Genomic DNA, 21,353 nt, shown 5'->3' on the forward strand with positions numbered 1-21,353 from the left:
CAATCTTTCAATCCCTTCCACAAAAGTTTTTTTTATTAAAGTTTATGATGCATTTGTTTTGATTCTCACTTCTAATCCATTCATTCTTTTAAAAAAAATTAAGGAAGAACTAATACCTTTTTAGTTTGTTTTCAGACAGGGACTCAGTCTGTCGCCCAGACTTGAGTGCAGTGGTGCGATCATGGCTCACTGCAGCCTTGACCTCCCAGGCTCAAGCGATCCTTTGATCTCAGGCTCCCAAGTAATTGGGACTATGGGCGCATGCCACCACACCTAGTTAATTTTTGTATTTTTTATAGAAACATGGTTTTGCCATGTTGCCCAGGCTGGTCTCGAACTCCTGAGCTCATGCAATCCATTCGCATCAGCCTCCCAAAATGCCGGGATCACAGACATGAGCCACTGCGTCCGGCCAAACGAATATCTTTTATACATCCACATGGATGTCAAAATATATCCTGAGAGTTTTTTAACTCTATGTAAATGTTATCAATACTGTGCTTAGTTCTTAGCACGGACCTTCTTTCCATGTAAGAACTTTAAATTACATTACATTTCTTTCATTTTTACAAGTCCACTGTGTCCATAGGTGGACTGTAAGTTAACCAGCCCTACACTGATGGAAACCATGTTTATTTTGAATATTTCACTGTTCAAAAACATTCTTTTGTAATTATCTTTGTGGGTGCATGCAATTATTTAAGATAAACTCTAAAAATAAAACACTGCAACTAGAGGTACACATTTTAAAATTTTAAAAACACAGCCAAGGCCAGGTGAGGTGGCTCATGCCTGTAATCCCAGCACTTTGGGAGGTTGAGGCAGGTGTATCACTTGAGGTCAGGAGTCTTAGACCAGCTTGGCCAACATGGTGAAATTCTGTCTGTACTAAAATACAAAAACTAGCTGGGCATGGTGGTGCGCATGTGTAATCCCAGCTGCTCGGGAGGCTAAGGCAAGAGAATCACTTGAACCCGGGAGGTGGAAGTTGCAATGAGCTGAGATCGCACCACTGCATTCCAGCCTGGACAACAGAGCGAGACTCAGTCTCAAAAACAACAACAACAAAAAACCACAGCCAAATTGCATTGAATGTCTTCATTAATTTACACTTTCATCAACAGCATTTGATAGTACTCATTCCTCAAAACTTTCACACTTTTCCATCTACCTTTTAGGTTTTGAAAATCTTATAGATGAAAATAGTGATTTGAAGAACTTGCATATTCTTAAGTGAGGCTGACCATCTGTTCACACACTTCTTGGCCATGTATTTATTTCTAACAAATTACCAATCTGACATAATCAACGGTAAATACTATGTAATTTAGTCTAAGGGGTTCAGATTCTTTATACATTTTTAGGATTCTAGTCCTTTGTTAAATGGTAAATACTTTCTCCCCCTACAAAAAAAACCTGTTTAAAGTGCTAAATTTCTTACATTTTAACCTCAATTATGTAACAGTGATTCTAAACATATTTGATGAGCTAAACACATAGTAACGGGAAAAAATGTGTGCTCACAAAATTCGTATGTTGAAACCCAACTGTAGTGTCCTGGTATTTAGAAGTAAGGCCTTTGGAAAATAATTAAGTCAGGAGGATAGGCCCCTCAAGAACAGGATTAATGCCCTTATAACTGGGTGTAGTGGCTCATGCCTGTAAGTCCTAGCTACCAGGGATGCTGAGGCACAAGAAACGCTTGAGCCTAGGAGGTGAAGTCTGCAGTGAGTTATGATCGCATAGCTGTTATTCCAGTCTGGGTGACAATGCAAGTATGTACTTTACAATAATTAATTTAATGTTATGTGAAGTATATCTCAATTAAAACAATGCTATATTATGCATAAAATCATACACTGGAAAACTGAATGCCTGTTTTCTACTTCACCCTCAGCATCTGTCCCTGTAGTGGTTGAATAAAAGTTACTTTGTCATCCGGGCGCGGTGGCTCATGCTTGTAATCGCAGAACTTTGGAAGGACAAGGCAGGCAGATCACCTAAGGTCAGGAGTTCAAGACCAGCCTGGCCAACGTGGTGAAACCCTGTCTCTACTAAAAATACAAAAATTAGTAGGGCATGGTGGAAGGCACCTGTAATCCCAGCTACTAGGGAGGCTGAAGCAGAAGAATCACACGAACCCGGCGGAGGTTGCAGTGAGCAGAGATCATGCCAATGCACTCCAGCCTGGGCAACAGAGCAAGATTCTGTCTCAAAAAAAAAAAAAAAAAAAAAGTTGGACGCAGTGTGGCTCACGCCTGTAATCCCAGCACTTTAGGCAGCTGAGGTGGGCAGATCACCTGAGGTCAGGAGTTCAAGACCTGCCTGGCCAAGGTGAAACCCCGTCTCTACTAAAAATACAAAAAAAATCAGCCGGGCGTGGTGGTGCATGCCTGTAATCCCAGCTACTCGGGAGGCTGAGGCATGAGAATCACTTGAACTCAAGAGGCGGAGGTTGCAGTGAGCCGAGATTATGCCACGGCACTCCAGCCTGGGTGACTGAGCAAGACGCTGTCTCAAAAAAAAAAAGGGGGGGGGGGGGCCAGGCGAGGTGGCTCATGCCTGTAATCCTAGCACTTTGGGAGGCCAAGGCGGGTGGATCACCTGAGATCAGAAGTTCGGGACCAGCCTGGCCAATATGGCAAAACCCCATCTCTACTAAAAATACAAAAAAAATTAGCCAGGCGTGGTGGCGGGCGCCTATAATCTCAGCTACTCAGGAGGCTGAGGCAGGACAATCACTAGAATCCTGGGGGCTGAGGTTGCAGTGAGCTGAGATTGCACCACTGCACTCCAACCTCGGCAACAGAGCGAGACTCTGTCTCAGAAACAAAACAAAACAAAAAAACAAAACACAAACAAATTTATACAACACTAGACTCAAAAACGGCACAACATATGTCCTTTTCAAGTAGTATAAGCAAAGGTTCACCAAAGTAGACTATATGCTGTGAAATAAAACAAGTGTGAATAATTTTTTTTTTTTTTTGAAACAGAGCTTCACTCATCGCCCAGGCTGGAATGCAACGGTGCAATCTCGGCTCACTGCAACCTCTGCCTCCCGAGTTCAAGTGATTCTCCTGCCTCAGCCTCCTGAGTAGCTGGGATTACAGGCACCCACCACCACACCCGGCTAATTTTTTTTTGTATTTTTAGTAGAGACAGGGTTTCTCCATGTTGTCCAGGCTGGTCTTGAACTCTTGACCTCAGGTGATCCACCCGCCTTGACCTCCCAAAGTGGTGGGATTACAGGCATGAGCCACCGCGCCCAGCCAAGTGTGAATAAATTTCGAAAGACTAGATTTTCAGTGAATGATTTTGGGTTTTTTTGAATCGGGGTCTCACTCCTTAGCCCAGGCTGCAGTGCAGTGATGCAATCATGGCTCACTGAAGCCTCAATGTCCTTGGTTTCCAGCAATCCTCTCACTGAATAGCTAGGACTACAGGGAAAGGCCACCATGTCCAGCTCTGCCATAGATTTTAATTAGGAATTAACTACAAAATAAGCCAGACATGGTAGCTTGCAATTTGGGAGGCTGAGGAGGGTAGATTGCTTGAGCTCAGGAGTTTGAGACCAGCTTGGGCGGTATGGCAAGACCGTGTCTCTACAATGAATAAAAATTAAGCAAATGTGGTGGTGAGCACCTGTATCCCAGCTGAAACGAGAGGCTGAGGTGGGAGTATCACTTGAGTGAGCAGCAAGACGTGACTGCCAATGCACTCCAGCCTGGGCGAAAGAGCGAGAGATCCTGACTTTTTTTTTTTTTTTTTAGATGGAGTCTGGCTCTGTCGCCCAGGCTGGAGTGCCCTGGCGTGATCGTGGCTCACTGCAACCTCCGCCTCCCGGGTTCAAGCGATTCTCTTGCCTCAGCCTCCCGAGTAGCCTGGGACTACAGGTATGCGCCACCACGCCAGGCTAATTTTTGTATTTTTAGTAGAGCTCTGGTTTCAACTTGTTGGCCAGGCTAGTCTTGAACTCCTGGCCTCAAGTGATCCTCCCGCCTCAGCCTACCCAAATGCTGGGATTACAGGTGTGAGCCACTGCACCTGGCCTTGACCCTGACTCTTAAGGGAAAAAAAAAAAAAAATTCCAAACTCATTTTATGAGGCCAGCATAACCATGACAGCAAAACCTGATGAGAAAATGCTAAGAACAGAAAGTTAAAGATCAATATCTGGACGGGCACAGTGGCTCACGCCTGTAATCCCAGCACTTTGGGAGGCCAAGGCGGGCGGATCATGAGGTCAGGAGATCGAGACCATCCTGGCTAACATGGTGAAACCCCGTCTCTACTAAAAATACAAAAAAATTAGCCAGGCATGGTAGTGGGCACCTGTATTCCCAGCTACTCAGGAGGCTGAGGCAGGAGAACGGTGTGAACCTGGGAGGTAAAGCGTGCAGTGAGTCGAGATCGCGCCACTGCACTCCAGCCTGGGCGAGAGCGAGCCTCCGCCTCAAAAAAAAAAAAAAAAAAAAAAAAAAAAGATAAATATCCTCCACAAATACAGACTAAAATAATCCTTTTAAAGTATATTAAACAATCAAATATAGCCAACACATTAAAAAAAAAAATACAATGTCATCAAATGAGGTAAATTCCAGGAATGCAAAGTTGATTCAACCACTACAAAAATCTTACAATTAAATAATATTAACTGATTAAAAGGAGAAATATCATTACATCAGTGGATACTGAAGAACGGTATCAAAATTTGGCATTCATTCATAAAAACTCAGAAAAATCCAGGAAGAAAGCTTCCTGAAATTGATGAAACATCTATTGTGTGATATCACACACCATGGTAAAATATAAATGTGTTCTTTCGAAGACAGAGAAAAAAGCAAAAATGTCTGCTTTCTAAACCGCTATTGAAAATTACAGTGGAGGTATAATATAATTGGAGGTTTGTGTAATAGAAAATCCTAAGAAATCTACAAAAAAGTGCCAGAATACATGATTTTTTAAAAAGCAATAGAATACACGGCCAAAAATTAAGGAATATTAATTCTCTTTCCACATACTAGGAAAAAATAAGTGGAAAAATTTACACTGTCAGTAACAAAAAAAATGAGATATAAATTTAACAAAATGTGAAAGACCTCTAATAAAACATACAAACCACAGAAGAGGAAAAATTACATTAAATGCTGGTGCTAAAACTTACATGGAAAACCTAAGAGCTATAATAGCAAAAACAATATTGAAAAATGTGAACAAAAGTTGAAGGAGTTTACTCAATTTCAATACTTACTAAAAAAAAAAACTATAATAACTCAGGCCCTGTGGTATTAAGTACAATGAGATGGTTAGAATAGAATACTGAATCTAAATGTAGACATGTGTGATGATTTTCAACAAAGGCAGCAAAATAGTTCAATGTGAGAAGTAGTGTCTTTTCAGCAAATGGTATACAAACAACTAAATACCTATGTGGGGAATAAAATTAACTTCAACCCTTAATTCATAACATCCTCAAAAACAACTTTAAATTGGGTCACAGACCTAACTATAAAAGCAGAAGGCATAAGCTTTCTACAAGAAAACACAGAAAAACACATTTGCAACACTAATATAGGCAAAAAATTTCTTAGGACACAAGAAAAGTTAAGAGCACCTGTCCTCCAAAAAAAAAGTGTTAAGAAAATGAAAATCCAAGCAACTGTGAATAGGGGCTTGAACTGGTTATACTTAAATTCAGAAAAATCAAATGCTAAATTTATAAATTCACTAGAAAACAGAAAACCAATAAAAAGGACAAGTACTAATTCTCCTGCTTATTATTTTTTTATCCTTTAATCCCTCCATCTGGAGTTCAAGAACTGCTTGGGACATTTTCCTTGCATCTTTGTCACCTTCAGCGTTAGTGCTTTAGCCTTCGACCAGACAACACACCATCAGCTGAGTGCAAAATACATACAGACCAACGCTGATGAGTCTAGCTTCTCCTAGTATTCTTAACTGCCCTGTATGTATATACATATGTATATACATATATACATCCAGTGCCCATCTTATACATATGTATATTGCCCTATATGTCTATACATATGTATATTGCTCTATATGTCTATACATAGGTATATACATATGTATATTGCCCTACATGTATATATCTATGTATATACATATATACACCCAGTGCCCATCTTAATTATCAATTGCTCTGTGTTTAGTGCCAGATAAATCATACAGACTTATCAATTGCTCTGTTTAGTGCCATATAAACCATATAGTCTTCTCCTATTTTTAACCGTATACTTCCTGAGTTTTAGTAACTCATCTTACTTTTAGATCCAGATAGCTTCCTATATTTTACAAATTTCTCAATAATGAAAAATAATGTTCTGGTTTTCCTAGGCTTTTTTTTAATACTCTTTTCTGTCTGTCACTGTACAAGTTTAGGGCAGGAGAGATGGTTATATGCTTCATATACATCTTAATCTAAATCCTAGATTTTTTTCTTCTACTTTTTCATTATTTTTCATGCTCACAGAATAGTAAAATAAAAAAGAGATATAATTTACTACAATCCTTCATCTTAGGCTGTTTTGAAGAACTGTAATTCATCTCCTAATAACCAGAAAAGGTTCTAATTCCTCCTGTTATTTCATTTCAATAAAGTATATTAAAAAAAAAAACCTACCAATAACTTTAATGACTTAGTTTCTAGTCCCCAAATTTTAAATCTCCACTTTCTAGATTTCAGTGAAATTCTATAAACTTGGATGATTAGTATGAGACCTGTAATTCACCAACTGATATATATAGTCTCTTATTTACAAGCTGCTCCCACAAAGATGGGTGAAGAAGGCTAATAAATCATAAAATGCCTATCATAGGTCTTTACTTTTCGAAGTATGCTAGAGCTTATTTTTTGAAAATGTGATCACTGGCTCACTGAGGACACAAACATTTAATGGTCAATAAAAAATACCTTATCAATAAAGAACATTTTGGGTTGTTTTTTGTTTTTTGTTTTTGTTTTTGAGACTGAGTCTCACTCTGTCGCCCAGGCTGGAGTGCAGTGGTATGATCTCAGCTCACTGCAACCTCCGCCTCCTGCAACCTCCTTCAAGTGATTCTTCTGCCTCAGCCTCTGGAGTAGCGGGAATTACAGGCACGCACCACCATGCCTGGCTAATTTCTATATTTTTAGTAGAGATGGGGTTTCACCACATTGGCCAGGCTGGTCTTGAACTCCTAACCTCAAGTGATCTGTCTGCTTTGGTCTCCCCAAGTGCTGGGGTTACAGGTATAAGCCACCATGCCCAGCCCACTTTGAATTTAATTACATTGAATAGAAGTTAGGCCAGAATTTACATAACTGGTAACTAAGGTTCATCACACTTAGAAGAAATTCATTACCAGAGAACTTCAAATTTGCATCCACATAAAGCATTCCCTAGAGATTTCAATAAGTTAAACTATATATAGGTACGTATTCCACTTTTTCATATGAATGTGATTCTGTTGCAATTTAAAAACCATTAATTTTAAAACATTACTAAATTAAAGATGTTTTTGGTCGCTGTAAGTTTTCTCTATAAACAAAGAGTAAAACTACTCAAATGATTAAAGAAAATTAAAAAAAGATATCCATAAAAGGGACAATCTATTCATACTTGAAAGTCGAGAACTGTGGACCCACAGCAAGCAATGAATCATCCCATGGTATTGCTGAGAATGACTAAATTAAATCTAACACTCTCATGCAGAAGAATACAAACCATTTTTGGGAAGTACTACTTCTTCTATATTGGGTACAGGTGTTGGGTCTTCCATATCCTTGGTTAGATCTTCTTGCTCATCTTCCTCTTTCTGACTTCTGCGCTTCCCATAAAGGCTAGCTTGGCTAAAACATACAAGTATATGAAATATAAACAAGACTGATTATAGCTACTGATAGCAAACAGTTTCTGAGGTTGTACACCTTCATTATTTGTAGAACATATGCTCAAGATCACTTTAAAAGACAAACAGTAGGTCGGTCGCGGTGGTTCATGCCTGTAATCAGAGCACTTTGGGAGGCCGAGGCAGGTGGATCACTAAGGTCAGGAGTTTGAGACCAGCCTGACCAACATAGCGAATCCCCGTCTCTACTGAAAATACAAAAATAAGCCGGGCATGGTGGCAGGCGCCTGTAATCCCATCTGCTCAGCAGACTGAGGTAGGAGAATCGCTTGAACCCGGAAGGTGGAGGTTGGAGTGAGCTGAGATGGCGCCAGTGCACTCCTGCCTGGGTGACAGAGAGAGACTCCATCTAAAAGAATTTTTAAAAATAAAAAAGGCAAACATTAAAAAGAAAAAATTAGATAACTTCCCCCAAATTACATCTAACCAGCCAATAAAAGAAAAATAAAAGTTAACAGGCATAAAAAATGGGCAAAAAATCCTACTAGACAATTGCGGGCAGTATCACAAAAGGGACCTAAATTAGTGTAATAAAATAACAACTGCTAAGGAAATATGATATATTCTAAGATTATAAGCAATCACATATGTGATCAAAGATACGTACCATTGTGTTTTAATGGCCCTTTTATCATCCAAATATCAGGAACTACAAGTAGAATCCCTAAATATAGTACTAATTCTTTTGTATAAAATCTTCCACTGCTCTTGCACCAAAAATTCAATCAAATCATTATTAATTTTAAAACTAATAAATGTCAGGGGGCTCAAAAAAAAAAAAAAAACCCCAGTGATGATTCTTTACCTTTAGGGATTACAAGGGATATAGGACAGAAATCTTTACCTCACATAACATGATTCATACAGAGAGAAATACGATAGAAGTATTATATTTCAGTGCAGAGAAATGAATAAAAGTACCAAGAAAATACATCATAGAGAGATTGTAAGGACTGAAGGTCAGAGTTAAGCTGAACCTTGAGAATTGTTTAACAATTCACTAAGAGGTAAGGGCTGGGTGTGGTGGCTCATGCCTGTAATCCCAGAACATTGGAAGGGCAAGGCAGAAGAATTGCTCGAGGCCAGGAGTTCGAGACCAGCCTCGGAAACAGGGCGAGACCCCATCTCTACCAAAAAACAAAAAATTTAAATTTTAAGACAGGGTCTCACTCTGTTGTCCAAGCTGGAATGCAGTGGTGCAATCACAGGTCACTGCATCCTTGAACTCCTCAGCTCAAGTGATCCTCCTGCCTCAGGCTCCTGAGTAGCTGAGACTATAGGTGCACACCATCATGCCCAGACTATTTTTCTTTCTCTAATTTATTCTAGATACAGGGTTTCACTATGTTGCCTCAGGTGATCTCAAACTTAAGCCATCCTCCTACCTTGGCCTCCCAAAGTGCTGGGATTGCAGGCAAGAGCCACTGGCTCCTGGCCCAAAAAGTTTTGTTTTCTTTTCTTTTGTTTTGGTGGGGGCGGGGGTAGGAGACAGTCTTGCTCTGTTGCCCAGGCTGGAGAGAAGTGGCACTATCTCAGCTCACTGCAATCTTTTCCTTCCCAGGTTCAAGCAATTCTCATGCCTCAGCCTCCCCAGTAGCTGGGATTACAAGGGCGCTCAATCACGCACCGGCTAATTTTTTTTTTGTATTTTTAGTAGAGACGGGGTTTCACCATGCTGCCCAGGCTGGTCTCTAACTCCTGAGCTCAGGCAATCTGCCCACCTCAGCCTCCCAAAGTGCTAGGATTACAGGCATGGGCCATCACGCCCGGCCTCCAAAAAGTTTTTAATGCTAAGCCGGGCATGGTGGCATGCACCTGTAGTCCTAGCCACTGAGGAGGACTGCTTGACCTCAGGGTTTTAAGGTTACATGACTGCACCACTGCCCTCCAGCCTTTATTCTGCATCCTGAAGCACTGTCTTGTTTTAATTATTATTTTTATTCATTTATTCCTCAGCAGATGTTATTATACTAATTTAAACCCCTAATTTATTTGTTATCATTTTTTTTTTCTGCCAAAGAGCAAGATCTTGTCTGGCAAAAATAAATAAATAAAATAATAAAGAAAGACAATGCTTCAGGATGTAGAATAATGGCCAAAAGGTATAAGAAAAGAAAAACACACTTGCTTTGGGAAGTACTGGGTAGCAATCTAAACTGCACTGTGAAGTGAGAGTGGAAATGGAGAAAAAGCTGTCTGAAACAGCATGCTGGGCCAGCCTGAGTTCTACAGTGCAGAGCGAATGCTCAAAGTTCCCTTTGAGGGATGACATATTGGCTTAGGTTGAATAGGATACATAAAGGAAAATTTTTTTCCAAATAAAAATCGCATGATGAGTTTTGTTTTTGTTTTTGAGATAGAGTCTTCCTCTGTCACCCAGGCTAGAGTGCAGTGGCGCGATCTCAGCTCACTGCAAGCTCCGCCTCCTGGGTTCATGCCATTCTCCTGCCTCAGCCTCTTGAGTAGCTGGGACTACAGGCGCCTGCCACCACACCCGGCTAATTTTTTTTGTATTTTTAGTAGAGACAGCGTTTCACCGTGTTAGCCAGCATGGTCTCAATCTCCTGACCTCGTGATCCGCCCGTCTCGGCCTCCCAAAGTGCTGGGATTACAGGCATGAGCCACTGCACCCGGCCTTTATTTATTTATTTTTTAAACAAAAGGAAGGAGAGTACACTTGGAAGAGGGCCAAGCAGGCAACTTGAAAGACAAGTGCTGCATGATGATTTTTTTAAAAGCCTATAAACCTAAAGGCAGCAGAGAGATAAAATACTTAAAGGGGAAGAAAACATACAGTGCAGATGAATGAAACAAAAGTTGGGAAAACAGATTTCAAAATATTTTCTAAGTATATTTTTAACATAACTCTAAGGAGAAATGTAAAATGAGAAAAGGCGTGGTCATTACAAGGCAAATGTATTCCATTAAAGTACATGCATACATATATTTTAGAGAACTCAATCTGGTATGCGTTATATTCAGAGTAGAGGGTATATGTCACCACTGTGAGCCTCATGCCTCCTAGAGATCACATCTTGGTTCAATAACCACTGGTGTCCTGGCACCCCATTTTATCTCATTATAGTTGACAGTGCGCTCCCTGCAAAGATCTCATGTAGTTCCAAAATCTCTGAACAGCAACAACAATATTCAGATTAGAAATGTAAGAAACAGGCCAGGTGTGGTGGCTCACGCAAATAATCCCAACACGTTGGGAGGCCGAGGTGGAAGAATTGCTTGAGACCAGGAGTTGGAGACCAGTGTGGGTAACAAGACAAGACACTATCTCTACAAAAAATACAAAAATTAGCTGGGTGGGGTATTGCGCACCTGTAGTCTCAGCTACTCCAGAGGCTGAGGTAGGAGAATCGCCTGAGCCCAGGAGATGGAGGCTGCAATGGGCCAAGATCGCACCACTGTGCTCCAGTCTGGGCAACAGAGCAAGACCCTGTCTCAAAAAAAAAGATGAAATGTTAAATATATATAAAAAGAATGTAGGCCAGGCACGGTGGCTCATGACCCTGTCTCAAAAAAAAAAAAAAAAAAAGATGAAATGTTAAACATATATAAAAGGAATGTATGCCAGGCACAGTGGCTCACGCCTGTAATCCCAGCACTTTGGGAGGCCGAGGCAGGTGGATCACGAGGTCAGGAGATTGAGACCACCCTGACCAACGTGGTGAAACCCCGTCTCTACTAAAAATACAAAAAAAATTAGCTGGGCGTGGTGGCACGAGCCTGTAGTCCCAGCCACTAGGGAGGCTGAGGCAGGACAATCGCTTGAACATGGGAGGCAGAGGTTGCAGTGAGCTGAGATTGTGCCACTGCACTCCAGCCTGGTAACAGAGCGAGACTCCGTCTCAAAAAAAAAAAAAAAAAAAACGAACTATAAAAAATAGTTACCCCATAAACAGCTAACGAAAAATCTATTTTTATAATTTCAATTTTCATGTCATAATATGTGTGGGCTCAAAAACTAAGTTTTTAAAGGTTTTTTGATGAGTGTAACTTGCTTAATAATATATGAAACTAAGAGGTTTTTAAATGTCCCTAAAGACTTCTATTAGTAAGAGTGTTGTCATAACTACCCTTCAGGAAATAATACGATTCAAGGCATGTTCTGGGAACAGAAATGCCAACTAGGGTAGAGAGGAAAGTCTATATAAGGAAGCTGCAGGAGAGATGTCAATTGTATCTTTACACTTCAATCAACATCCAAAAAGTTGACTGTCACATGAAAATAATCAATTTACAAACCATAATTGTCTTGCCAAGTCTAAACTATAAAAATTATAATGAAAATATTTTAAGCTAGGCAAACCAGAAATTATGTAACTTAATATATACCAATTAATTATTAAGTACTATTTACCATTTATTAAGTGTGTATTTAAAGCCAGGCAATGTGCAAAGGCTTTAAAGTCTCATTTAACCCTCAAAACAATCTATTCAGTAGAAATCGTAATCCTCATTCAACCAAAGCTCACTAAGTACAAAAGTGTAGCCCTGAACCAGGCGTTGTACTGCCATGCTTTGCAGAACATCAAGCAGCCACATATTCATCTCTTCTATGAGCTTATTTGATCACAAATGGGACAAGTGGTAAAATCAGAAAAGGAGACACTAAACATGGTGAATATAATGTCTTAAACTTCTTACCAGTCATGCTTCTCAATACATACTTAGATACAAAAAAAAAAAAAAATTCCAAGTGATTCTCCAGCCTCAGCCTCCCAAGTAGCTGGGATGACAGGCGTGCACCACCGTGCCCAGCTAATTTTTATATTTTTAGTAGAGACGAGGTTTCACCATGTTGGCCAGGCTGGATTTGAACTACTGACCTCAGTTGATCTGCCCACCTCAGCCTCCAAAAGTGCTGGGATTATAAGTGTAAGCCACCACGTCCGGCCTGTTTTAATGCCCTTTGAATCATGTAATAGTTCTTACCCTTTCTTCCCACTCTTCTTCCGTGATTCTGTTGGTGTCGGAGGGGGAGGCGAAGGCGAATGTTTCCTCTTTCGAGCATTAGCTGATGCTTTTCTATCTCTTCTTTCTGGACTTCTGACTGGCTAGGAAGAAGTAAATGGAAATAAGTATCAGCTATCTTTGCTCCTCAGTTTCTACAAATCCTTGGCAAAAGGTGAATCTCCACACACAAAGACAACAGCATATCCTTAGTTCAGAGCAAATAAAAAGAATATCATTAATCATCCAGGAACACCAGTAATCAAGAAACTTTCCCTGACCTTTCAGGTGATATATATCATCAATGGAAATATCGGCTATCAGTTATTCAAACTATGCTATAACAGACATGCTGAAACCCTGCACAACTAAAAACTGCTACTGTTCACATTCTGTTTTGAGGTGAGAATTGTATTTCAATAACTACTGGAAAAATGTGAAATACACTCTACTAAACTGACAAAATACAAAGACAGGCCAAACGATCCTGTGAAAATGTAGCATTATAGGAATTATTCTTAATCTCTAAAATAAACAGAAGATAACTTCATGTCATAAGAAATGTTAAGCAAGATGGCAACATGATTTAAAGTCAATGTCTAGGCTGGGTGCCATGGCTCATGCCTGTAATCTCAGCACTTTGGGAAGCCGAGGCGGGAAGATCACTTGAGGCAAGGAGTTCAAGACCAACCTCTCCAACACAGGGAAAGCCCATCTCTACTAAAAATACAAAAATTTAGCTGGGTATGGTGGAGCATGCCTGTACTCCCAGCTACTCAGGAGGCTGAGACATGAGAACTGCTTGAACCCGGTAGGCAAAGGTTGCACTGAATCATGATCATGTCACTGCACTCCACCCTAGGTGACAGAGTAAGACTCCGTCTCAAAGAAGGAAAAAAAAAAAAAGTCAACCTTTATAAGTAAAAACTATCCCGGCTTGCAGATGATACAATTTTATACATAAAAAAAGCTTCCAGACCTAATGAACAAGTTCAGGAAAGTTGCAAGACATTAAGATCAACAAACAAAAGTAAGCCTGCATACAGCAACTACCAATTTAATAAAATAGACTATCATAAAGAAAAAAACACCTAAATTATCAGTACTAGATTAGGTAAAAGCATCAGAGGCATAAGTAAATAATCTAAAATTAAAACATCAATTAGGCTGGTCACGGTGGCTCACACCTGTAATCCCAGCACTTTGGGAGGCCGAGGCGGGGGGAATGCTTGAGCCCAGAAGTTCAAGACCAGCCTGGGAAACATAGTAAGACCTTGTCTCTACAAAAACAAACAAAAAAAAGTTAGCTGGATGTAGGGGTGTGCGTCTGTGGCCCGAATTACTCAGAATACTGAGCCGGGAGGATAGCTTGTGCTCCGAAGGTCAAGGTGACAGTGTGCTATGATCGCAACACTGCACTTCAGCCTAGGCGATAGAATGAGATTCTGTCTCATGCTAAAATGAAAAAATCCATGAATTAAACATTAATTTTCTCTGTTGCCATCCTATTCCTTACAACTGTATTTCCATTCAGAAGCTCCATAGCATCAAACTGAGAAGCTTAAACACCTTATGAGTATGTAATAGCAGTTTGAAAAAAATCTAAAGGATATACACCTTTGAATGATACAGTAAATCTGAAGTTGAATTTTTTTTCTTTTTTTTTTTTTTTTTTTTTTTTTTTTTTTTTTGAGACAGGGTCTCACTCTGACACCCAGGCTGGAGTGCAGTGGCGCGATCTCAGCTCACTGCAACCTCCACTACCCAAATTCAAGTGATTACGGATCACTGAAGCCTTAACCTCCTGGGCTCAATTGATCCCCCTCACCTCAGCCTCCCATGTAGCTGGGACTACAGTTGCGCACCACCATGCCCAGCTAATTTTTGTATTTTTTGCAGAGACAGCGTATTGCCATGTTGCCCAGGCTAGTCTTGGACTCCTGGGCTCAAGCACTCCACCTACCCTGGCCTCCCAAAGTACTGGAATTACAGGCTTTAGCCACCATGCCCAACCCTTAATTTTTTAACAAATATCCATTTCTATATAACCTCCTAAAAATAAATGAATAAACAAACAAACTAAATCTGAACAGAAATGGGTATGAACTGGCCAGTTAAATAATGTAATATAGAAATTGGAATATTCCTAATGACAAAAAAGCCTTGGATTAAAATATATTCAGGGAAAGCAAATATGTAAGTATATCTTCTGGAAAGGTTAAAATAAGAGAATATGAAGAGTCCTCAGCACCATAAGACAGTGGTGGAAAAAAAAAATTTTGAATAGTCCAATTCCAAAACAAACGACAACCAACTGCAAGTAAAAAGGTATGACAAAGACTCAACTGTAAAACATTTTTCTTTTCTTTTTTTTCTCTAAATTTTTTATCAGTTGAAGAGACGAGGTCTTGCTACATTGCCCAGGCTGGTCTCAAACTTCTGGGCTCAAACTATCCTCCTACCTCGGCCTCCGAAAGTGCTGGGATTACAGGTGTGAGCCACTGGGCCCAGTCATTTAATATTTTTGTTTCCTAATATTTTTCCTAAAAATTGGCAAGGCATAGTGGCTCATACCTGTAATCCCAGCATTTTGGGAAGCCAAGGCCGGTGGATCAACTGAGGTCAGAAGTTCAAGATCAGCCTGGCCAACATAGTGAAACTCCATCTCTACTGAAAATAAAAAAATTAGCCAGGTGTGGTGGCACGTGCCTGTAATCCCAGGTACTTGGGAAGCTGAGGCAGGAGAATTACTTGAACCCAGGAGGCAGACATTGCATTCAGCCAAGATCATTCCACTGCACTCCAGCCTGGGCAATAGAACGAGACCCCTTGTCAAGGGAAAAAAAAAATTAATGTGAAAAACAGTAAGGTTTTCATAGTAAAGTCACAGCACTGAAATAGGTATGAAAGTACTGTACTCTGCATGTCAGTGGTTCAAAGAATATCCATCTCTAAGATTTTTCAATAAAGTAAAACAGGTCAGGCGCGGTGGCTCATGCCTGTAATCCCAGCACTTTGAGAGGCCGAGGCAGTCAGATCACCTGAGGTTAAGAGTTCAAGACCAGCCTGGCCAACATGGTGAAATCCCGTTTCTACTAAAAATACAAAAATTAGCCAGATGTGGTGGCACGTGCCTGTAGTCCCAACTACTTGGGAGGCTGAGGCAGGAGGATAGCTTGAACCCAGCAGGTGGAGGTTGCAGTGAGCCGAGATCGCGCCACTGCATTCCAGCCTGGGCAACAGAGTGAGAATCTGTCTCAAAAAATAAATAAATAAATAAAAAATAAAAGTAAAACAACACCCCAGGAAAAGGAACCAGAAGTCTCTAAAAGCTATCACAAACCCAATACTAACACACCTTCTTCTCAGTGTCAAGTCGTCTTCTAGTGACACCTACCACACAAGTTGTCCTTCCACAACTTGTGCCTTACAAGGAATCATGGGTAAATATCTAAGCAACTGAACGTCTTAAAAGATTAAATGATATAAAATGTCAAGTCCTCCACCCTCAGAAAAGTGGATTGAACTATAACTGTTAACATGTTTAAGGCCTATACTTTACACTAACTACCATCTGTGGATTAACAGTTATTTAAGAATATTAAACAGGTCGGGTGTGGTGGCTCATGCCTGTAATCCCAGCACTTTGAGAGGCCAAGGCAGGCTGATCACCTGAGGTCAGGAGTTCGAGACCAACCTGGCCAACATGGAGAAACCCTGTCTCTACTAAAAATGCAAAAATTAGCCAGGTATGGTGGCAAGCGCCTATAATCCCAGCTACTTGGGAGGCTTGAGGCAGGAGAATCGCTTCAACCCAAGAGGCAGAGGTTGCAGTGAGCCGAGATAGTGCCACTGTACTCCAGCCTGGGCTACAGAGCAAGACTCTGTCTCAAAAAATATATATACATACTAAACAAAATGAGTTTTGCATAGGAAAACCAACAGCTACATTAAATTCTGCTGTGATATTACACTTCAGATCTAGTGGGCAAAATCAGCTATACCACTACCCTTCTGCATGGGCCACTTTAAATCTTAATAACCTTTTAAGATTTTCATACCACTTTTTGGGAGGTTATTGTTTCTGAGATGGCTATTACAGCCACTTTGGAATTTTCACCTGATGGCACATCAGCCATCAGGCAGATGTGAAAGTTCCTAAGTGGTTTGTATATGACAGCTTACTGATGAAGATTTAATAACATTTAGGCCAAGAAGACAGACTTAATGATGAGAAACTGTGCCAAAGAAAATACCTCTTCATTCTTGGTTGAAATCCGCTGACGAAAACTCACAGGCTTCCTATTTTCATCCACCTCATAATCCTCCTCATTCATCCATTCATTGAAAATATCAGTGTCCAAAATCCATTTCACATGAACCTAAAACCATATCAAAGCATCAATATCTACATAAATAACAAAATCACTCAAGGTTTTACAGTATTGAGAAGGAAACAAGCTGATTTATTTTCAAAGCCTCAAATGCATAAAACATTAATAATGTGATACTACTAATGATATGTGAGTTGTAATTTAATCATCTCTATTTTTATTCCATATTAAAGAGAACAAGAAAGCATCAATAATTTATACTAGACCCAGATTTTGATAGCAAAGTCCCTCAAATTTGTTTTGCTTAATCATTTCATCCTTATGTTCATGAAAATCACTGATAAAAACATTCAACAGCACAGAGCCAAAATCAGTCATTGCTTTAGGCACGAAGGATGTCTTTGGGTTTATCAACAACACTCTAAGTGTTGATGACAGAGCACATTCGCAGAGGCCGATCACCTGCCCCATCATGTACACATGGTGCTCTAGGTAGGAATGGAAAAGTGACAGTCAGATGGTGGGTTCTTCCTAGTCCTTTATATGGCCACCTCCCTTGTTTAATTTCATGCTTCTGAGTAAGAATAAAATGAAAGGTTGTGTGGACGTACAAATGTAGATGTATATATACATATAGATAGATACTTAAACCACAGGCCTAACCCATATAACATTCCATATTATCCAACAGTATTTCTCAATGGGGGCACAACTGGAATTTGACACTAGAAAATTCTTCCTTGTACAGAAAAACTCAAGTCATGGTGGAGGTTTAAGTTGGAGTAGTGTTGGTTGAAATGAACATGTTCAGTCAAGAACAGATTACAATTATGAAGCCTTTCTAGAACACTGTAAAAACAAGATACACTGTGGCAATGACTAGAAAACAATATGAACTTCCTAGTAATTTGTCAATCTAAACTCCCTGTTTTCAAAGAGCTACTAAACTGGTTATTTGGGATATGCCTTTCAAGTACCTTGAGTTAAGAATGATACCCATCTGACTACACGCCTCCTCTCCCTTGAAAACTATAGTTACACAGTAATATACAGAAACACCAAATTAACAGCCTGTCCAAGACAAATAAAGCCTCCAATAATGTAACCTGAAAAGACTCCTAAATGGACAAATTATGGGAAGAGTGTATAAACAGAGCAGTATAAATAGAGCAGAATAAATAGAGTGTATAGGCCGGGCGTGGTGGTTCATGCCTGTAATCCCAGCACTTTGGGAGGCTGAGGCGGGCAGATCACCTGAGGTCGGGAGTTCAAGACCAGCCTGACCAACAAGGAGAAACCCCGTTTCTACTAAAAATACAAAAATTAGTTAAGGTGGTGGCACATGCCTGTAATCCCAGCTACTCGGGAGGCTGAGGCAGGAGAATCACTTGAACCCAGGAGGCGGAGGTTGCAGTGAGCCAAGATCACGCCATTGCACTCCAGCCTGGGCAACAAGAATGAAGTTCCGTCTCAAAATAAATAACTAACTAACTAACTAAATAAATAAATAGAGTATATAAATAGAGGCTTAAGCTAGTTAGAAAAAAAAAATAGGACTGTGCTAAATAAAAGGGTTAATTAACTGATAGTTTAGAAAATAAATGTCAAAATAGTGTTTTCCAAAGTGTGAGAAACATGTGTATACATTGCTTCCTTTTTTTTTTAAAAGAGCTGAATTTTCACACTGATAATCCTTTAACTACTGAGAAATCCTTGAAAGAAATCTCCTGAGAAAGAATGTTAGAGGAGTATGTGACAGCTAACAACTGTTTGTGTCAGGCACTATGCTGAACATCTTACACGTATAATCTCATTTAACTCTCCTAAGCACAGTGAAATAATGCGGGTATTATACTCTCTGGCTTTCCAAATCAGAAAACTTGGGCAAACAGTTTTAGTAAGCTGACTATTTACACTCCTAATTAGAGGCAAAGCTTGGATTTGCACTAAGTTCTCCCTGAGCTCTCAAGTCCTATGCTTTGTTATCTCTCTCATAAAAAATACCTTCATGTCAAAATAATACAAAAGTCCATGTGTCCTTGGGTAAAACTACTTAACTTGTGGAGCCTAGTTTCCTTCCTAATAATGTGATACCATAGTTAAGTAATCATTCCCAGTTCTGATACTATAATCTACAGGGAAATAGATGTCTAAAAATCCTTCAGTAGTACTTCACAACATTACATGGCTCATGAGTCACATGGCTTACTCCTTTACTATTAGATGATAGTATAATTTCAACATTTAATTTCCAAAAATAGTTAAAAACAGAAAAATCTGGGCCAGGCGCAATGGCTCACACCTGTAATCCCAACACTTTGGGAGGTCCAGGCGGGCAGATCACAAGGTCAGGAGATCGAGACCATCCTGGCTAACACAGTGAAACCCCATCTCTACTAAAAAAAGAAAAATTAGCCGGGCTTGGTGGCGGGCGCCTGTAATCCCAGCTACTCAGAAGGCTGAGGTAGAATGGTGTGAACCCGGGAGGTGGAGCTTGCCGTAAGCCGAGATCGCGCCACTGCACTCCAGCCTGGGCGACAGAGCCAGACTCCGTCTCAAAATAAATAAATAAATAAATAAATAAATAAATAAATAAATAAAAGATAAATCTGGAAGAAGGGTACCAAGTAGTGCTTTGTTTTGTACTACTCTTGCAACTTGTAAAATTAATTTTTTTGTTTTGAGACAGGGTCTTAACTTGTTATAAAGGCTGGAGTGAAGTGGTTGCAATCACGGCTCACTGCAGCCTCAACCTCCTCAGCTCAAGCAATCCTCCTGCCTCAGCCTTCCAAGTATGTAGCTAGGACTATAGGGCACTTGACATTATGCTCAGATAATTTTTTTTTTTTGGTAGCTCAGGCTGGTCAAGCAATCCTCCTGCCTTAGCCTCCCAAAGTGTTGTTATTACAGGTGTGAGCCACCATGCCCCATAAACTTTATTTCCACATCAAAAGTTGATTAAAAGTCAATGTATGGACTCTTATTACATTATGGTAGAAATGATTAATAAAGTAAGTCTGTATCATTCTAAAAGTCACACAGGCATTGCTTCCAAGCTACCCAAATGACATCATCAGTGATGTTCAACTCTACTCCTCACACTCCTCTCTCACAAACCACAATCTGACCTGCCTTTGGATTCTCCTCAAACATCAAGCACTGCAGACATTTCATCTAAGACCTAGATAATAAAGTCTTCATGGCCGTACGTATCTTGTAAATGGATGACAGGAAAGGGAAACCAACATTCTGTATCTCCTTAGAGAGACTGCTGTAGAAAACAGCTGAGAAGAGCTATTAGATTATTGTAAGAATTTTTTTGGCCAGGCACGATGGCTTACACCTGTAATCCCAGCACTTTGGGAGGCTGAGGCAGGCCGATCACCCGAGGTCGGGAGGCTGAGGCCAGCCTGACCAATCCAGTAAAACTCCGTCTCTACTAAAAATACAAAAATTAGCCTAACGTGGTGGCGTGTGCCTATAGTCCCAGCTACTTGGGAGGCTAACGCACGAGAATCACTTGAACCCGGAGGCGGAGGTTGCAGTAAGCCAAGATCGCACCACTCCACTCTAGCCTGGGCGACAGAGTGAGACGCCATCTCAAAAAAAATTTTAAAAAGATTATTGTAAGATTTTTTTTGTTAAATCATTTACCTTCCATGGTTTTTCTGGAATTGGTGGATCTTCAATTTCAGCATCAACATCATTACTATGGACCCAAGTATCATAGCTATAAAGGAATCAAAATGAGAAAAACAAATTAGAGTCAAAGGTAATTCATTAGAAAGACTTTTACAAATAATAAGAACATGTTTTAGAAATACTACTAAAATCCCAGCCTGGTCAACATGGTGAAACTGCGTCTCTACCAAAAAATACAAAAATTAGCCGGGCATGGTGGGATGTGATTGTAGTCCCCACTACCCAGGAAGCTGAGGTGGAAGAATCGTTTGAACCCAGGAGGCAGAGGTTGCAGTGAACTGAGATCACACCACTGCACTTCAGTCTAGGCAACAGAGTGATACCCTATCTCGAAACAAAACAAAACAAAACAAAAAACTAAAAGAAATACTACTAAAATCTATTAATAGAAACTTATCAGACACTTTTGTCCTTACTATTCTGCCAAGAAAGCTCCTCT

At 40.2% G+C, this 21,353-nt stretch overlaps 1 protein-coding gene across 1 annotated transcript in view; it reads right to left on the reverse strand.

Moving 5' to 3' along the window:
* Positions 1-21,353, reverse strand: part of SMARCC1 (SWI/SNF related BAF chromatin remodeling complex subunit C1) — a 196,625-nt gene that overhangs the window by 108,280 nt on the left and 66,992 nt on the right. The window contains exons 8-11 of the mRNA NM_003074.4: positions 20,867-20,942; positions 17,135-17,260; positions 12,861-12,982; positions 7,730-7,854 (exon numbers count right to left, since the gene is read on the reverse strand). Of these exons, the coding sequence (NP_003065.3) occupies positions 7,730-7,854; positions 12,861-12,982; positions 17,135-17,260; positions 20,867-20,942 (449 nt within the window). The remainder of the gene's footprint in view (positions 1-7,729; positions 7,855-12,860; positions 12,983-17,134; positions 17,261-20,866; positions 20,943-21,353) is intronic.

This window comes from Homo sapiens, chromosome 3 (assembly GCF_000001405.40).
Source record: "Homo sapiens chromosome 3, GRCh38.p14 Primary Assembly".
Taxonomy (NCBI): Eukaryota; Metazoa; Chordata; class Mammalia; order Primates; family Hominidae; genus Homo; species Homo sapiens.